This window comes from Homo sapiens, chromosome 17 (assembly GCF_000001405.40).
Source record: "Homo sapiens chromosome 17, GRCh38.p14 Primary Assembly".
NCBI classification, from domain to species: Eukaryota; Metazoa; Chordata; class Mammalia; order Primates; family Hominidae; genus Homo; species Homo sapiens.
In genome coordinates this window covers 81,359,645-81,374,488 of record NC_000017.11, presented here as the reverse complement: position 1 = coordinate 81,374,488, position 14,844 = coordinate 81,359,645, and the positions used below count along the sequence as shown (strand labels likewise).

The 14,844-nt window shown below is 55.3% G+C and overlaps 1 long non-coding RNA gene across 1 annotated transcript, besides 2 other annotated features; it reads right to left on the bottom strand.

Moving 5' to 3' along the window:
- Position 1: 1 nt before the first annotated feature.
- Positions 2-2,972, bottom strand: LOC124904083 (uncharacterized). The gene is made up of 2 exons (XR_007065942.1): positions 2,838-2,972; positions 2-754 (listed from the first exon to the last, which is right to left on the bottom strand). It is a non-coding gene; the product is annotated as an uncharacterized LOC124904083 (long non-coding RNA).
- Positions 7,875-8,460: an enhancer, noted in NCBI's record as "H3K4me1 hESC enhancer chr17:79339829-79340414 (GRCh37/hg19 assembly coordinates)". NCBI's record gives its function as "activates a minimal SCP1, AML or CMV promoter by ChIP-STARR-seq in naive H9 embryonic stem cells {active_cell/tissue: H9 hESC(naive)}" and the evidence as "EXISTENCE:reporter gene assay evidence [ECO:0000049][PMID:30033119]".
- Positions 8,461-9,048: an enhancer, noted in NCBI's record as "H3K4me1 hESC enhancer chr17:79339241-79339828 (GRCh37/hg19 assembly coordinates)". NCBI's record gives its function as "activates a minimal SCP1, AML or CMV promoter by ChIP-STARR-seq in naive H9 embryonic stem cells {active_cell/tissue: H9 hESC(naive)}" and the evidence as "EXISTENCE:reporter gene assay evidence [ECO:0000049][PMID:30033119]".

Sequence of the window (14,844 nt, the reverse complement as noted above, 5' to 3'; positions counted from 1 at the left end):
CTATGACTTATTTCATTTATTAGTATTATTTTTTGAGACAGAGTCTCCCTCTGTCACCCAGGCTGGAGTGCGGTGGTGCAATTTCAGCTCACTGCACCCTCTGCCTCCTGGGTTCAAACAATTCTTGTGCTTCAGCCTCCCGAGTAGCTGGGATTACAGGAGTGTGCCACCACGCCCGGCTAAGTTATGTATTTTTAGTAGAGACAGGGTGTCACCATGTTGGCCAGGCTGGTCTTGAACTCCTGGCCTGAAGTGATCCGCCCGCCTCAGCCTCCCAAAGTGCTGGGATTACAGGTGTGAGCCACCGTGCCCAGCCTGCTCTGTGACTCATTTTAAATTAATTGTGGGGATGGGGTCACTTTTTTCTGTCAGTGTCCAACTGATACTGGACACGTGGCAGGGAAAGGCCACCTCTTCCCCCTGCTCTGCAGGGGCCTTTGTTATAAATCGGCGTGGGGAAGGGGCCGCTTTCTGGACCCGCCCTTGGGTCCAGGGTCTCTTTGCTTATTCCTGCGCCAATCATGCAGGCCCCATACCGCTGTCAGCGCACGGGCTGGCTTCAGCAGAGGAGGCTCAGGGCCGGGCTGTGGGGCCTGGAGAGCTCATCTTGGTCTCTTGGGCCCCTAGGTCGGCTTGCTTGTCCTGACCATGGAGCACAGCTTCCTTGACAGCAGCCTCTGCAGTCATCCCAGGCCGACAGGCAGGCCTCGGCGCTCCAGACAGGGGCCCAGCCCGGGGCCAGTCTCCAAGTACCCTGTGGATGAGGAAGGAAGCAGCTCTCAGGGAAGGGGCACCCCATGGGTCAGCTGGCCGCCTGGTTCAGTCACCACATGGGCACACAGGGCCAGCATGGGTGCACAGGAGCTGGGACACGCCAAGCGCTGGCGCCTGCGTTGTTGAGGGTGCGCATAGCGGCTCGAGGGGCTGCAGTGTTCAACGGGGCAGCCAAGGTGACCTTGGAGTACAGTACTGCGGGCGAGGAGGAGGCATACAGCTGGGGGCATTTCTTTTTCTTTTCTTTTCTTTTTTTTTTTTTTGAGACGGAGTCTCTCTCTGTTGCCCAGGCTGGAGTGCAGTGGCGCAATCTCGGCTCACTGCAACCTCCGCCTCCCAGGTTCAGGCAATTCTCCTGCCTCAGCTTCCTGAGTAGCTGGGATTACAGGCGCCAGCCACCACGCCCAGCTAATTTTTGCATTTTTATTAGAGACGGGGTTTCACCGTGTTAGCCAGGATGGTCTCTATCTCCTGACCTCGTGATCCACCTACTTCAGCCTCCCAAAGTGCTGGGATTACAGGTGTGAGCCACCGCGCCCTGACTGGGGGGCATTTCTGACTGGGAGACTGTCAGGTACAAAGGCCCTGGGGCTTCCAGGAAGGAAAGGAGGCCACTGGGCCTTCAGTGGGGGCAGGAAATGGGGAGGGGAGGAGAGATGGGGTCAGAGGGTTCGAGCCAGTGGCTGGATTCCAGAGGTCCTGGAAGGCCGAGGGGAAGACTTTGGCTCTGGGACTGTGCCTTGGGGGGCCCGTGGAGGGCTTGGAGCCTGGGCTGCTTGCAGGGAGGGAACCAGAGGAGGTCCAAGTGGAGGGGATGCAGGGCCAGGGAGGAGGTGCTGGGTTGGGGAGGGAGCCGAGTGGCTGGGAAGGCCCGAGCTGGACATTGCCTGAATTTTGAAGACGCCCAGGATCTGTTGTGCGTGTTCTTGTGGGTGTGGGGAGCAAAGCCACATAGGAACACAGCCACAGGCCTGTACTCCTGGGGTGGGGGGGCCCCTCAATGAGATGGGTGCCAGAGGGCCAGCAGGTTCCACTGCAACTCAGGGCTCTGCGTGGCCATCTGCTGGGCTCAAGGAGGTCAGGCGGCCGGTTCGAGCAGGAGCATGTGAGGGACGCCTACTCGGCTTGGAGATGTGGACTCCGGAGCCTGCCGCAGAGCATGGAATGGGAAACTGGCGTGGGTGAGGTCATCTCAGGGACGCTGGGGACAGGATGGAGCTTCAGGAGGGAGGAGGGGCCGGGAAGCGGAGACCAGAGACACAGGAGTGCCTCCTGGAAGCCTCAAGAAGGGAGGTCCCACCAGGAAGGAGTCGTCCCTGGGTTGACTAAGAGGAGGCCGAGCAGTGTCCCTTGGAGCTGACACCGTGGAGGCCACGTGACCTGCACAGGCCCTGGTCCCCCCCACACTCAGGCTAAGTGCCCAGGCACAGGCCGGATCCCTCCCAGCCCGTGTGTGGCCACAGCCTCAGGGCCCCTTGCTGGAACAGCCTGTTCCCCCAGCCCCAGCCTCCAGAGAGTTTAGGGAACCCCCACCCTGTGCCTTCTGGGCCCATGGGCATTCCTGGCGGGTGGATCCCCTGAGGCCTCCCAGCCTGCACTGGAGGAGCCCTGCCCCATCCCGCTCCTGGGAGACCCCCCCCAAGCACCGACCCTGGGAGCAGAGAGTCCCCCTCACCCTGTGCCTCCCCAGGACACACACATAGCTGGGTCTGGGCCTTGGTGTCCTTGACTGTGCAACAGATGGCCACAGACTGGGCGCTTCAATGGCAGGAAGCTCTTTTCTTATGGATTGAGAGGCCAGAAGCTGGCCACCGACGTGCGGTGGTGTGGATCCTTCTGGAGGCTCTGCGGGGAGGCCTGTCGAGGCCTCTGTCCCAGCTTCAGGTGGTCTCCAATCTCTGCCTCACTCTTTTTTTGTATACATATTCTTTCTAAAATTGTATATTGTCAGGTGCGAAACTGAATGAAGTATTTCAGTAACTTGCCTGGTAACAAGACCCAGGTTTGAATTTGTCCATTTGACTTCATATATTCAAATGCCCTGCAAGCAAGCTAGCACTTACCCTCGAAATCAGCACCATTTTCAATTTTTCCTTTTTTTGGTGGGTGAGTGTTCTTCTCACTAGGAGTTGACAGATGAAAGCTGCCGGCGGGCGGTGCGGTCCCTCACTGTATACACGCCCCATAACTTCAGGCTCCTAAAATTTTATCTGGTTATTTTTTGAATTGTGGTTATATATATAATCTACCATTTTAACAATTTTTAAGTGCACGGCTCATTGGCATTGGGACTGTCTCAGTGTCTTTTTTTTTTTTTTTTTTGAGACGGAGCCTTGCTCTGTCACCCAGGCTGGAGTGCAGTGGCACGATCTCGGCTCACTGCAATCTCCGCCTGCAGGGTTCAAGTGATTCTCCTGCCTCAGCCCCCTGAATAACTGGGAGTGCAGGTGCACACCACCATGCCCAGCTAATTTTTGTATTTTTAGTAGAGACGGGGTTTCACCATGTTGGCCAGGATGGTCTCAATCTCTTGACCTCGTGATCCGCCCGCCTCAGCCTCCCAAAGTGCTGGGATTTACAGGTGTGATCCACCGCGCCCGTCCTCAGTGTCTCACTCTTAGAAGGACACCAGGCACTGGATTAGGGCCCACTCTACTCCAGTCTGACTTCATCTTAGCTTGATTATAGCTGCAAAGACCATATTTCTTTTTCTTTCTTTCTTTCTTTTTTTTTTTTTTTTTGAGGTGGAGTTTTGCTCTTGTTGCCCAGGCTGGAGTGCAATGGCGTGATCTCAGCTCACCGCAACCTCTGCCTCCTGGGTTCAAGTGATTCTCCTGCCTCAGCCCGAGTAGCTGGGATTACAGGCATGCGCCACCACGCCCAGCTAATTTTTTGTATTTTTAGTAGAGAGGGGGTTTCTCCATGTCGGTCCAGCTGGTCTCAGACTCCCAACCTCAGGTGATCCGCCGGTCTCAGCCTCCCAAAGTGCTGGGATTACAGGCGTGAGCCACCACGCCCGGCTGACCCTATTTCTAGATAAGGTCACATTCACAGATATGAGGGCACCAGGACTTGGACATATTTGGGGGGCACAATTCCACCTTCTGAGTCAGGCTGGAGTGAAGGGGATGGATGACACTCTGGGCCGGTTCCTGACTCTGGCAGGCAGCGACGTCAATTATGATATCACAAACTCTCAAAGTCCATTTCAGGAAGGGCTGCCTGCTTCTGGCAGAGATGGCTGGCTTAGCCCTGTCCCCCGCACCCCTGCCCCCTAGGCCAGCACCACCTCTCCTTCCTCTTCCCCTAGGACCTGGCTGCCTCTAGCATGTGCCTGACCCCATAGGGCACTGCAGTTTCCATCCAGATGTGTCTGTCCCTGGCTCCAGTAGGTTCCCGGGCACCCTGAGGATTTTTTTTTTTTTTTTTCAGATAGAGTCTCGCTCTGTCACCAGACTGGAGTGCAGTGGCACAATCTCGGCTCACCACAACCTCCGCTTCCCGGGTTTAAGTGATTCTCCTGCTCAGCCTCCCGAGTAGCTGGGATTACAGGTATGTGCCACCATCCCCGGCTAATTTTTGTATTTTTAGTAGAGACGGGGTTTCACCATGTTGGCCAGGCTGGTCTTGAACTCCTGACCTCAGGTGATCTACCCACCTTGGCCTCCCAAAGTGCTGGGATTACAGGCATGAGCCACCGCGCCTGGCCAACCCTGAGGATCTTTGCTCTGGGACCCAGCCTTGAGAGGGTTTGTTTTGAAGGAGAAGGTTTAGAAAACAGGAGAGGAGCCTTGAGGAAAAGAAAGGGTAAGAGGCTTGAGGGTCGGAGGCCAGGCAGGCTCTGGGGTGTCAGGGACCAGGGGCCCAGGAACTGAGGCTCAGCGACTTCCCCAGGTATCTAGAGCGAGGCTCCCCAGGAGCAGGGCTAGAGGCTCTGTCTGCAACAGGTCCCGGGACCCCACAGGAAACCACCTTCTCCCAGATCTGCCTGTGCCCTTGGGTGACCAGGTAGCTCCCGGCCCTGCTGAGCCTCATTTGAAAATCAGACTTGGCCAGGAGGGGTGGCTCACGCCTGTTATCCCAGCACTGTGGAGGCCAAAGCAGGCAGATCATGAGGTCAGGAGTTCAAGACCAGCCTGGCCAAGATGGTGAAACCCTGTCTCTACTAAAAATACAAAAATTAGCCAGGCGTGGTGGCAGGTGCCTGTAGTCCCAGCTACTCAGGAGGCTGAGGCAGAAGAATCACCTGAACCTGGGTGGTGGAAGTTGTGGTGAGCTGAGATCGCCATTGCACTCCAGCCTGGGCGACAGAGTGAGACTGTCTCAAAAAAAAAAAGAAAATCAGACTAAGCCGGGCACGGTGGCACATGCCTGTAATCCCAGCATTTTGAGAGACCGAGGCAGGAGGATTGCTTGAGCTTAGAAGTTCAAGACCAGCTTGGGCAATGTAATGCCCCCATCTCTACAAAATAAAAACAAAAAATTATCTGAGTGTGGTGGCACGTACCTGTAGTTCCAGCTATTCCAGAGGCTGAGGCGGGAGGACCGCTTGAGCCCAGGAGGTTGAGGCAGCATTAAACGCTGATCTCACCATAGCAGTCCAGCCTGGACAACAGAGTGAGACCCTATCTCAAAAAAACAAAGAAAGAAGAAAATTGGACTCACATGAGTCTCTCTCAGGGGGTGCCTGGGAGAATGAGGGGGTCATCGGTGCCCAGCAGTGACCGGGAGCAGGGCCAGCCATGAGGAGGCACTGGCGGCCACCACGCCAGGGTCAAAGAAGGGCTCACTGAGGTCCACCAGGCCCATGCTGGGGACCACAAGACACACCCTCTGGGCATTTCTCTTGTGTTTTGTGTGTCCTCGCCAAGTCGGCCGAGGGACCCCCATCTGGATGCGAGCTCCTCGACGGCCCGTTTCTCTGGAGCCTTCTCATCCGGCCCCCCAGGGTTTCTGTGAAGGCAGATCATGGCCGGGAAGCTCCAGAGCAAGGCTGTGCATGTGAAGAGCCAGCCCAGAAAGGGCTCACAGCTGCCCCAGGACCTCCAAGCCTCCTGGTCTCCCCAGAGAAGGCCTGGGGGCGCGAGGGACCTTGGGCTCTGGCGAGGGTCCTCTGCCACCCCTCTGTACCCTGCCTCCCCGCTAAGGCTGCCATGGGCCCACTGGGCACAGAGAGCAGAGCTGCCCCTGGACCTTGGGGCTCTGTGCTCCCTGTCCACCCCCAGCAGGGCACCGGTGCATCACAGAGCTCCAGCCTGAGCCTGCGTCCAACATGGAGAAGGAAGTCCCAGAGCCTTGGTCGGTGGGACCCAGGGCCCACCCTTCCTGCACCACCTCGTTCTGCAGACCTACACACTGGGACACCATCACGAGCCCTGAACTCCAGAGCAGACCCAGCAGGGCCGGGAGCGCAGAGCCTGGACAGCGGCCACCTGGTTCTCCCGATGCTGCTCAGTGAAGGCAGCAGCAGGACCAGATCAGTCCCACCTGAGAACGGCCACCGGGGCCGTCTGTTGAAAGGTGGCTTGGACGGGCGTGGTGGCTCACGCCTGTAATCCCAGCACTTTGGGAGGCCAAGGAGGGTGGATCACTTGAGGTCAGGAGTTGGAGACTAGCCTGGGCCAACATGGTGAAACCCCATCTCTACTAAAAATACAAAAATTAGCCAGGCGTGGTGGTGCACGCCTGTAATCCCAGCTACTAGGAAGGCTGAGGCAGGAGAATTGCTTAAACCCGGGAGGCGAGATCGCGCCGCTGCACTCCATCCAGTCTGGGTGACAGAGCGAGATTCCATCTCCAAAAAAAAAAAAAAAAAAGGAGGCTGGGCACGGGGGCTCACGCCTGTAATCCCAGCACTTTGGGAGGCTGAGGCGGGCAGATCATGAGGTGAGGAGATGGAGACCATCCTGGCCAACACGGTGAAACCCCGTCTCTACTAAAAATAGAAAAAATTAGCCAGGCGTGGTGGCGGGCGCCTGTAGTCCCAGCTACTCAGGAGGTTGAGGCAGGAGAATGGCATGAACCTGGGAGGCGGAGCTTGCAGGGAGCTGAGATCGCACCACTGCACTCCAGCCTGGGTGACAGAGTGAGAGTCCGTCTCAAAAAAAAAAAAAAGAAAGAAAGAAAGGTGAGCCCTGGGCTGTCCTGCTAGGTAATCCCACCAGCCCTGAGGCAGCCACCATGATGCTGCTGTCCAAATGAGCACCAGAGGTCCCTCGTCCAAGGCCCCCCAGCTGTGGACAGAGCCCAGGCAGCCTGACTCAAACACTGCACCTGCTGGCTTTGGGGTTGCCACGTGGGAAAGTGCCACACGAGGTGGGCGGGGCCTCCCCAGGGGTGCAGTCTGGGACCAATGGCCTGGCCGGCTGGTCTCTGCATGGTCCACGCGCTCGGCTGCACTTGGTTCTGAGGTCTCAAATACACATCGATGCCTCAGTGGTGGTTTCCACCACCTTCCTTCTTACCACCACCCGCTCCTCGTTGTGGGCCCTGGACTCGAGGCCAGTTGGGGAAGCCTGGGCTTGGGGAAAGGGGCATTGTGGGGGTGTCTAGGTGTCCTAGCGTCCAGATGTCCAGGCTCCAAGTGTTCAGACGCCTGGGTTCCCAGGTGTCCAGACGTCCAGGTCCTGCTTGGACTGTCACCTCCTTCCGGGACATAGACCCTGCATTCATAGAGTGGGGGCCCCATGAACCTCCAGCTTCTGATTGACATCTAATTTCCAGATGAGGTCATCCTGAACTTAGGCTGGGCCCTAAATCCGATGACACTTAGGCATCGGAGAAAGGGAAAGCCAGAGGATGACTGAGACCCAGAGCGGAGAAGGCGCGTGGAGGTGGAGGCAGAGGCTGGAGCCATGCGGGGCTGCAAGTCCAGGAGCACCTGTGGCCCCCAGAAGCTGGAAGAGACCAGGAAGGATTCCCCCAACCCCGCCTCCCCGGGCGCCTCCAGAGGGAACACGGCCCTCAGGCACCTTGATTCTGGACTTGCGGCCTCCAGGCCTGTGAGAGAATGGAATTTTGTTGTTTTACATGAACAACTTTGTAGAAATTTGTGACAGCAGTTTAGGAAGGTAAAACAACACTGCTTTTACACCTCAAAGGCATAGAAGGTTATACAGTGCAGGGACCCTCCAGGCACCATTCCCCTCCCATCTGGTTTTAGCAAAGTCCCACACACAGCATGGGGGTGGCACCTCACCTTTGTCCCGGAGCAGCACCTAGAAAGTCTTTAACCACTTGTCCACGTAATCTCCTTCTTCTCGATGGCTACCAGGCTGCATGGCCTCGGCTCACCTCTCCCTTACCCAGCCGCCCCCTCCCAGGCATTTAGCCTGTGTCCAGCCCCAGGAGCCGCCGGCACCTTCCCACAAATGTCCTGCCTCTACATCGTGGCACCCTGGTGGGACTCGGTGGTGGGAGAGATCCCTGGAAGTAGAATTGCTGGGTGAAGAGCATTTTATTGGTTGAGGGTGGCTGGATGAGTCTCTCCAGCAGTCACAGGCACCTCCCTTCCCACCCCCAGCTGGACGACTTCACAGGAAGGACTGAAGAACGGGGGGCCTGCAGCCCAGGGCAGGCCTGGCTGTGGCACCTGGCACACGGGGTTTCCTGTGGGGCTGGCACTCACCACAGCCCCTGCCCACGGGTTGGAGCGCTCTGGCAGCAGGACTCTGTGGCCATGAAGGCGGGAGGGAGGGCTTGGCTCGCTCCCCAGGCGTGTTGATGGACACGCAATTAACCTGCCTGTGGTTATGTTGGCACTGAACTGGAACAGGAAGTTAGCATATAAACCAGAGCCTTTCAAGTTATGACAAATTCATCAAACAAATGAACCCGTGAGCACAGAGGGCGGTGTGCGTCCAGCCTCTGTGCGCTCCGGTGGAGATAAGCGTCCACTCTGCTGGGAGGACCAAGGCCCTTTCCAGCCTTTCCCCTGAGCTCCAGGCCCGTGTCTTTCTGGCCCCAAACAGAACCATGCCCGGGGCAGAGACGGGGGCTGGTCTGGAGCAGACACAGGCAGGTGGTCACGTCCCACCAGTGACTCCACACATCTCTCTGGGCCTCAATTTCCCCAGCTCTCTGGGGAGAGGCCGCTTCCATGATTGGCCCGGCAATGTCTGATTTCCCTTCTGAGTTCCAGACGCCAGCTTTGACCCAGTCCTGCTAAAACCCGACAGCATCCCAGCTGACCCTGCTGTGAGAGCAGCTTCCAGAGCCGGTTCCCTCCTGGGGCGGCGTGCTTAGCAACACCCAGGGGGCAGCCCTCCCTGGCCTCCGTGCCAGCCTGTGCTCAGCGATGGTGCTTATCGGGCCGGGGAGTGTCCTTTAAGTCAGGGGTCCCCAACCCCTGGGCCACGGACCTGTTGGTGTCCTGTTAGGAACCGGACTGCACGTCAGCAAGTGAGCTGCGGGTGAGTAAGCGTCCCCGCCTGAGCTCCGCCTCCCGTCAGATCAGCGGTGGCGTTGGATTCTCATAGGCGCGGAACCTGAGAACCCTATTGTGAACTGCGTGTGTGAGGGATCTGGGCTGCACCCTTCTTATGAGACTCTAATGCCTGATGATCTGAGGTGAAACAGTTTCATCCCGAAACCACCACCACCCTCACTGCCCATGGAAAGATTGCCTTTCACGAAACCCATCCTGGGTGCCAAACAGGTTGGGGACCGCTGCTTTAAGTTGTAAGCCCAGCACAGGTTTCTAAATGGCCCCACGCTGCGGCAGAGCTGGGACGGCGGCCTCCAGGCAGGGGCGCCTGCAGGTGCCCGTTCAGGTGGGGGCCTCTGGTCAACCCCTTCACTGGATATGAAGGAACTGAGCCTGGGAGCTCTTGGCTCTCACTCAGGGTTACTCAGCTCACACTGCGGGCAGCGCTGGGACTGGGGGAAGCCCCCTCGCAGACCTCCTGGGCAGCCCAGGAAGAGCCGCTCTGGCCTTCCCAGCCTGTTGGACCCGAGACCTCAGGCCACTGCGGTGCTGAGGTCAGAAGAAGCAAGACAGGAGCCTCTCTTGGGGCTGAGGCTGGAGGCTGGTGGTGTCGTGAAAGGGTCCCCAAGCCAGTGTCCCCTAGCTGTCACGAGGTGAGGGGGTATCATCCCTGGGCAGGGCTCCTGCACCCCTGCCCTGTCCTGTGTCTGTGGCGCTGCCAGCAGCCCCTCCTGTCCCCAACACAGCCCCTGTCCTGGCTGCCCCCGTGCAGGTCCAGGCCCCTCCCTGGCTGTTGAACTCAGACACCACACCCAGGTGTCTGGGATTGATGGTGCAGGAGGAAGCACCTTGGGCCTGTTACAGATGCGGTTCCACCCGCTGTGGACCGGCCCTGGGTCCCCCCAAGAGGTACACTGAAGTCCTGATCCCCAGCGCCTGAGACTGCGGCCTTATTTGGAAACAGGGTCTTTGCAGATGTGACCGAGTGAAGATGAGAGAACCTGCCTGCGGCTGTGTTGGCAGCTGAACTGGAAGAGAATTTCGTTTTATTACCAAGGCCCTGATCCAGTGACTCTCATCCTTATAGAGGGACATTTTCACACAGGGACACTTGGAGGGGAGAGAAGGCTGCGTGAAGATGGAGTCAGAGATGGGAGTGGCGTCCACAAGGGTCGCTGGGAGCCACCAGGAGCTGGGGGAGAGGCCTGGGCCAGGTTCTCCTGCAGAGCCTCAGACAGAACCAGCCCTGCCGACATCTTGGCCTCAGGCTTCAGGCCTCTAGAGCCACAAGAAAATGAATTTCTGTTGTGGTTTTTTTGGTTTTTTGGAGACGGAGTCTCGCTCTGTCACCCAGGCTGGAGTGCAATGGCGCAATCTCAGCTCACCACAACCTCCTTCCCAGGTTCAAGTGATTCTCCTGCTTCAGCCTCCTGAGCAGCTGGGATTACAGGCATACGCCACCACGCGCAGCTCATTTTTTGTATGTCTAGTAGAGATGGGGTTTCTCCATGTTGGTCAGGCTGGTCACGAACTCTTGACCTCAGGTGATCCACCCGACTCGGCCTCCCAAAGTGCTGGGATTATAGGCGTGAGCCACCTCGTCCGGCCAAATTTCTGTTGTTTGAAGCCCTCAGTTTGTGGTGGTTTGGTACGGCAGCCGCAGGACATGCATACGACCCCCTCCCGTTTTCCCTTCCCTTCCCTTTAGTAGGAGCCAAGGAACCAGCTAGCACCTTGCATGGTGGGAGGAGAGATAGGAGGTCGGGGAGCAAGGCATGCGATCAGGGGAGCAGGGAGGAGGCATCCTGGGGAGGTGGAGCCGCTTCTTCCCATGGGCGAGGGGGGTCACAAAGAAGGAGGCGCCTGGCTGTGTTGGTCAGTGGGGATGAGGGTCCTAACCAGACATGGAAAGGAGGAGGCTGGAGTCAGCTCTCTGGTGCTGGACTACAGTTACAGTATTGGTGCGAATGCGTGTGGCTTTTCTTTTTCTTTTTTTTTTGAGACGGAGTCTTACTGTGTCACTCAGGCTATAGTGCAATGGCGTGATCTCAGCTCACTGCAACCTCCGCCTCCCGATTCAAGAGATTCTCCTGCCTCAGTCTCCTGAGTAGCTGGGATTACAGGCATGCGCCACCACGCCCAGCTAATTTTTGGATTTTTAGTAGAGGCGGGGTTTCACCACGTTGGCCAGGGCTGGTCTCAAACTCCTGACCTTGTGATCTGCCTGCCTCGTCCTCCCAAAGTTCTGGGATTACAGTTATGAGCCACTGCACCCAGTCTCTCTCTCTCTCTTTTTTTTTTAAGGGTCTCACTCTTGTTGCCCATGCTGGGGTGCAGTGGCAGGATCAAGGCTCACTGTAACCTCCAACTCCTGGGCTCAACTGATCCTCCCTCCTCAGCCTCCTGAGTGGCTTGGACTACAAGCATGAGCCACCATGCCCGGCTTCATGCTTTTTCATATAGTAGATGGATATAGCGAGGTAGAGGCGTGTGTGTGTGTGTGTGTGTGCACAGTTCCTAGCTCTGCCTGTCAGAAGGACCCAGAAACAATGAAGTCTCAGTAGTCATGTGCACACCCGGTGCCCTGCCCAGATCTAAATTCCGTTTCCCACTAACAGGAACAGGGGTTCTTTGGAGAGAAGGCTACATCCAGGGCTGGGGCAGGGAATGTTTGAGATGAGCCTGGGATATCCTGTTGTGCCAGAAAGTCAGGAAGCACCCAAGGAAACAGGCTGGGCGTGGTGGCTCATGCCTGTAATCCCAGCACTTTGGGAGGCCAAGGTGGGAAGATTGCTTGAGCCCAGGAATTTGAGAACAGCCTAGCCAACATGGCAAAACCCCGTCTCTACAAACAAACACACACAGAAAATTAGCTGAGCACGGTCTGTATTAGTCTGTTATTACGCTGCTAATAAAGACATACCTGAGTCTGGGTAACTTATAAAGGAAAGAGGTTTAATGGACTCACAGTTCCACATGGCTGGGGAGGCCTCACAATCGTGGTGGAAGGTGAAGGAGGAGCAAAGTCTCGTCTCACATGGAGGCAGGCAGAGAGCGTGTGCAGGGGAACTCCCCTTTATAAAACCATCAGATCTCGTGAGACTTATTTACTACCTCATGAAAACAGCACAGGAAAGACCCAACCCCATGATTCAATTCCTCCCACTGGGTCCTTCCCTCCATGCAGGGGAATTATGGGAACTACAATTCAAGATGAGATTTGCGTGGGGACACAGCCAAACCATATCAGTGTCACATGTCTGTGGTCCCAGGTACTCGGGAGGCTGAAGCAGGAGGATCGCTTGAGCTGGGGCAGTCGAGGCTGCAATGAGCCAAGACTGCACCACTGCACTCCAGCCTGGGCAACAGAGTGAGACCATCTTAAAATAAATAAATAAAAGAGGCCGGGTGCGGTGGCTCACGCCTGCAATCCCAGCACTTTGGGAGGCCGAGGCGGGTGGATCATGAAGTCAGGAGATCGAGACGATCCTGGCTAACACGGTGAAACCCCATCTCTACTAAAAATATAAAAAATTAGCTGGGCGTGGTGGTGGGTGCCTGTAGTCCCAGCTACTCGGGAGGCTGAGGCAGAAGAATGGTGTGAAGCCGGGAGGCGGAGCTTGCAGCGAGCCGAGATCGTGCCACTGCACTCCAGCCTGGGCAACGCACCTCAAAAAATAAAAATAAATAAAAATAAAAAATAAATAAATAAATAAAAGATGGAGATGTGTCAAAAGGCAAGAGATGGCTCAAGGGGCTTCCCTCTGGCGAAACCTAGAAAAATTTATACATAAATGGGGGGTGCAGCAGAAGGAATAATGGAATTAGAAAACTTCCATTTGGCATGGCTGGGCATGGTGGCTCACACCTGTAATCCCAGCACTTTTGGAGGCTGAGGCAGGTGGGATCAGCTGAGGTCAGTAGTTAGAGACCAGCCTGGCTAACATGGTGACACCCTGTCTCTACTAAAAATACAAAAAATTAGCTGGACATGGTGGTAGGCACCTGTAATCCCAGTGGCTCAGGAGGCTGAGGCAGGAGAATCACTTGAACCCGGGAGGCAGAGGTTGCAGTGAGCCGAGACTATGCCACTGTACTCCATCCTGGGTGACAAAAGTGAAAGTCCATCTCAAAAAAAAAAAAAGTGGGCCTGGCACGGTGGCTCACGCCTGTAATCCCAGCACTTTGGGAGGCAGAGGTGGGCAGATTACAAGGTCAGGAGTTAGAGACCAGCCTGGCTAATATGGTGAAACCCTGTCTCTACTAAAAATACAAAAAATTAGCCGGGGGTGGTGACGGCGCCTGTAGTCCCAGCTACTCAGAAGGCTGAGGCAGGAGAATCGCTTGAACCAGGAGGCAGAGGTTGCAGTGAGCCGAGATCGCGCCACTGCACTCCAGCCTGGGCCACAGAGCAAGACTCCGTAAAAAAAAAAAACAAAACAAACAAGCAAAAAAACAAAAACAGAGAATTTAAAAAGGTGGTAAAATATGAACGCTTGGCGATTCTGGGTGACTGGGATCTAGCAGCTCTTTGTACAATTCTAACCACTTTTTTGTAAGTTGGAAGTCATTCAAAAGCATGAAGCTACAAATAACAAAACCCTGTTTAGGTATGAAAAGACAAAGTACAGACTGGAAGAAGATTTCTGTAAACCACAGATATCAAACCAAGGGCTAGTATCTAAAATATGTAAAGAATGCTTAAAGCTCAAAGGTGAAAAAACAAACAATTCAATTGGAAAGTGAGCTAAAGACATGAACAGACATTTCACTAGAGAGGTTATACAGATGGCAAATAAGCACGTGAAAAGATGTTCAACATCATCAGTGGTCAGGAAAATGCAAACTAAAAAACACAGTGAGATACCAGCACACGCCTATCAGGATGGTTAAAGTAAAAAATAGTCATGAAACCAAATGTTGGCAAGGATGTGGAGAAACCGAATTACTTGTGTGTTACTGGTGGGAATGTAAAATGACACAACCTCTCCAGAAGATAGTTTGGCAGTTTCTTTAAAAATTAAACATATTGGAGAAACCCCATCTCTACTAAAAATACAAAAATTAGCACGGCATGGTGGTGCATGCCTGTAATCCCAGCTACTCAGGAGGCTGAGAAAGGAGAATCACTTGAACTTGGGAGGCGAAGGTTGTAGTGAGTGGAGATCGCGCCACTGCACTGCAGCCTGGGTGACGGAGTGAGACTTCATCTCAAAAAAAAAAAAAAAAAAAAAAATTAAACTTGTAACTACTAAACAGCCCTGCAATTGTATTCCTAGGCATTTGTCCCAGAGCAAAGATTTATGTTCACACAAAATCCTGAACATCAATGTACACAGCAGCTCTGTTCATAAGAGCTGAAAGCAGAAAGAACCCAGATGCCTTTCAGTGGGTGAATGGTCAAAGACACTGTGGTACCTCCACACCCTGGAATATCACTCAACAAAGAAATGAATGAGCTCTTGGCCAGGCACGGTGCCTCACGCCTGTAATCCCAGCACTTTGGGAGGCCGAGGCGGGCGGATCATTTAAGGTCAGGAGTTCGAGACCAGCCTGGCCAATATGGCAAAACCCCATCTCTACTAAAACTACAAAAATTAGCCGGGTGTGGTGGTGGGTGCCTGTAGTCCCAGCTACTTGGGAGG